Source organism: Homo sapiens, chromosome 18 (genome assembly GCF_000001405.40).
Source record: "Homo sapiens chromosome 18, GRCh38.p14 Primary Assembly".
In the NCBI taxonomy this organism is placed as follows: Eukaryota; Metazoa; Chordata; class Mammalia; order Primates; family Hominidae; genus Homo; species Homo sapiens.
The window spans coordinates 4,853,965-4,858,016 of NC_000018.10; the positions used below are offsets into that span (position 1 = coordinate 4,853,965).

The 4,052-nt window shown below is 39.5% G+C and overlaps 1 annotated feature.

Moving 5' to 3' along the window:
- Positions 615–1,247: an enhancer, noted in NCBI's record as "OCT4-NANOG hESC enhancer chr18:4854578-4855210 (GRCh37/hg19 assembly coordinates)". NCBI's record gives its function as "activates a minimal SCP1, AML or CMV promoter by ChIP-STARR-seq in naive H9 embryonic stem cells {active_cell/tissue: H9 hESC(naive)}" and the evidence as "EXISTENCE:reporter gene assay evidence [ECO:0000049][PMID:30033119]".

Here is a 4,052-nt window from a genome sequence, read left to right on the forward strand (position 1 = left end):
GAAAGCAGATAATTAGTGTGCAAATATGAAGTAGACAGGTTAATGGAATACTTAAGAGCTTGGGCTTTGGAGTCAGATTAAAATCCTGGTTCTAGAATCACCCTTCTTCCTTAATTCTCAGCCTTAATTACTTCATCTGTGAAATGGGGCTAATAAAACATGATTTAGAAAGTTGTGAAGAATAAGTGAAACCACATGTAAAGATAATGGCATGGAGCAAGGCATGTAACAATTGCTCAACAATGATAATATCATTTTCATTATTATTTGGTATGGTTCAGAAACTCATGGATCAGTAGGGAAGAAAACATGAACACTTCTCAAAGGAGACAGAAATCACATGTTATTTTAACAGGGACAGTTTGCTTAAAAAGAACTATTAGCTAGGTTATGTAAGAACAGAAAAGGCAAAAAGAGAATACCAGGTTATCACAGAGTTGGTAGCTACAAGAAGCAGGTCAAGGATTGTGAGAATAACCAAATAAGATGGAATCGTTAAAATTTGGAAGTTTGAAGGAGGAAAAGGCCAGTGAAATCGGAAGTGAGATCTCCGAGGAGAGAGTGCTGCTAGGCTTGTGCCTCTGACATGGGCATATTGAAGCTAATTCTGCAAATTTTGGTAAAAACTGCAAAGTGGACTCAACCCCTGCAACTGGAATGAACTTCCACTGCCTATAGTTCACTGCTACAAGAAACAGAAAGCTAAGAGGAAAGAGTGAGTCTCTCCTTTCTCCTCTAGTTTTCCTGTCTCCTGACATTGTTCCCTATTTAGACAGCCTAACAGGGAGCAGTTGGCAAAAGTGTGCTGTGGCTTGCAGAGTGGCAGCCCCAGCCAGCAGCACAGAGCAGAAGATTGAAGAACAGAAGGATTTGGAGCTGAAAGACAATAGCTTACTAAGTGGCACTGCAGGTTATTGTAATGCAAAACAGAGTAACAAGGACCATGAGAGAGTTTGCATTTTGAGGAATATGGGAATCCAGGAGAGGAAAATAATTACTTCCAGCTGGGGACATAGAGTTTGTATTATAAAGGACGTAGCATATGAGCTAGCCTTCAGAAGGAGATTAAGAATGTTCTCAGTGGTATTTTCTCCTCCTCTACTGCTCCTTTCCCTCCTCTGTGACAGTTAATATGGAAAAGTGAAGAACTGGGAAATGGCGCATCATTACTCCAGGCTTCTAGGAACCTAGCAGACAGAAGATCTCCTGAAAGAAATGGAAGTAGCCATCATGACCCCATCCTTTTTTGTTTTTGTTTTTGTTTTTTAGAGACAGGGGAAACAGAGTCTCGCTCCGTCACCCATGCTGGAGTACAATGGTGGTGCGATCATAGCTCACTGTAAACTTGAACTCCTGGCCTCAAGCTGTCCTCCTGCCTTGGCTTTCCAAAGCACTGGGATTACAGGCGTGAGCTACCATGCCTGGCCCCTGAACCCAAATTTTATAAAAAAGTTCTTCCTTTCCATTTTTGTCTGTGGTTTGCCTCTAACTACACGCAGGTTTTTTGGAAGCTTTTTATGATTGCGTCTTTGAGCAGAATAATGGGGATCGTGGATCAAATAGCAGTAAACATTAGCTGTGCAGAATTGAAGATGCTGGGTGGGATGTGCAGTTACCCACACTGCCTACAACCTCCTACCACAGTCTAGAGAGGATTCTCATTCCCCACGTTACTGAACGAGGCACACATCAACAAACAAAACGTGCCAGTGGCTTAACTCAAAAGGTAAGACCCTTTCTGGCTCACTGATGGAGCTCAGACAGCATCATGAAATTTGCCTTTACCTTCAGAAGAAAAAAGATCTCTAGCAGAAAGTACTCTGAAAAAAAATCCATTAGGATATAAACAAGGACCAAGGGAGAATTGAGATGCAGTGTCAAGGATGGAGAGAGAGTAAAGTCACCATAAGTATATTTGCATTTTCCCCATTCTAGACTAAAAATCACCTATCTTCTGTATTCTGCATTTTATTTATATCAAGAACAAGAACTAAGAGACCAATCATCTATCTATTTTTCAAGAAGAAAGTGCTTATGGACACTTGGTTTTTTTGTTTGAAATTTTTCTTTTTAAAGGTGCTATTCACATTTAAAAATGTGTGAAGGTTTTCGGATTCCTTCTCTCTCTTTTTCTAGAATACAGTATACGCAGCACACTTCTTCAGGAATCAAATAGATTTAATCAAGAGATAACAGATTCCAAGCATCTCCTTTGAACTGGGATCCCATTTACATTCTTTTCCTAAAAGGATACCAGGAATATACATAAATAGCATATTATATAGACTATTAGTTTCATGGGGCTGCCATAGCAAAATACCATAGACTGGGGTGCTTAAGCAACAGAAATTTACTTTCTCATAGTTCTGGAGCCCAGAAGTCCCAAGATCGAGGTACTGTCTGGGTTGTTTTCTCCTGAGGCCTCTCTCCTGGGCTTGCAGAGGGCCACCTTTTCTCTGTGTCCTCACGTGGCCTTTTCTCTGTGTGCACCCATTCCTGGTCTCTTCCTCTTCTTTTAAGGACACCAGCCACACTGGCTTAGGGCCATACTCCAAGGGCCTCATTTTAATTTACTTATCTCTTTAAAGACCTGCTCTTGCCACAAAAACAAACGAAAAATAAAAGAGTAACTGTGAGTTGATGAATATGTTAATTTGCTTCACTATAGTAATGACTTTACCATCTATTATGTATTCTATATCATCATGTTGTATACTTTAAATATACACAATAAAACTTACTTTAAAATAAAAAGACTTTATCTCTAAATAAGCTTGCATTCTTCAGGACTGAGGGTTGGGTCTTCAACATATGAATTTTAGGGAACACAATTCACCCTATAACAAGTGGTAATATATGTAAATATGCTAGCATAATAAGACATGACTTCCTATTAGTCTAAAATAACATATTTCAGGGACAGGCACGGTGGCTCATGCCTGTAAATCCCAGCACTTTGGCAGGCCAAGTTGGGTGGATCACCTGAGGTCAGGAGTTCAAGACCAGCCTGCCCAACATGGTGAAACCCCGTCTCTACTAAAATTACAAAGATTAGACTGGTGTGGTGGTGCATGCCTGCAATCCCAGCTACTTGGGAGGCTGAGGCAGGAGAATTGCTTGAACCTGGGAAGTGGAGGTTGTAGGCAGCCAAGATGGTACCACTGCACTCCAGCCTGAGTGACAGAGCGAGACTTTATAAATAAATAAATAAAATAAAATTTTATTTATTTCAGTATTCAGCATATTTCAGTATTGTTCAATTCTTACGAAGTTAAAATGCTAGAGGAGAAAAAGAAAATTTTCAAATGCATCTATTTAGAAGCTGGAAGAAATAACAGCAAAAGCACTAAAGATGGATGTCAAACACTGGGGGAAAATGGAATACTTTCAAAAAGTAATTTCTGTTGTTATTCTGCAAGGTAAGAAGTATTATATTGGGTTTGCCTTAATTGCATATCAAAGGGACAGAGTGAATCTCCCAGTCTAATCTAAGATCAGCACCGACTCTGCCATTTACTTGAACAAATTATTAAATTTCCTGAGTCTCCGTTTTCGTATCTGTAAAGAGGAAATGTGTATAGTACCTTGAAGAGTTCCTATGAACATGCAGGAAGCGCTATATATAAAGTGCCTGCCCCCACTAATGGTAGACATAATTTTTATTATTTTAACTGAGAGGGCTTCTGGATCTAAATAAGGCTGTAGACAGTTACCTCATTTATGTTTGCCAGGAATAGGTCACTCAAAGTGATTGTCAATGCATTGACTGTGACTATGGAGAAAGACTACACCTTTCTGTATATAATTGTTCTTCATATTAAAGGAGTAGGTCGGTGATGAAGAGTTTGCAGACATGTAGCCAAAAACTAAGACACAACAAAAACAGATAAAAGACCCTTTGCCTTAGCTGCATCCATTAGCCCAGGTGCTTCACTTGAAGGAAGAGTGACAATCATATATCTTTTGTGCAGGCTGTGGCATGCACTAATGAGATTCATTTTGCTGCCTATTAAAAAGCATTCTTTTTTTTTTTTGCCAATTAGCTACCACTG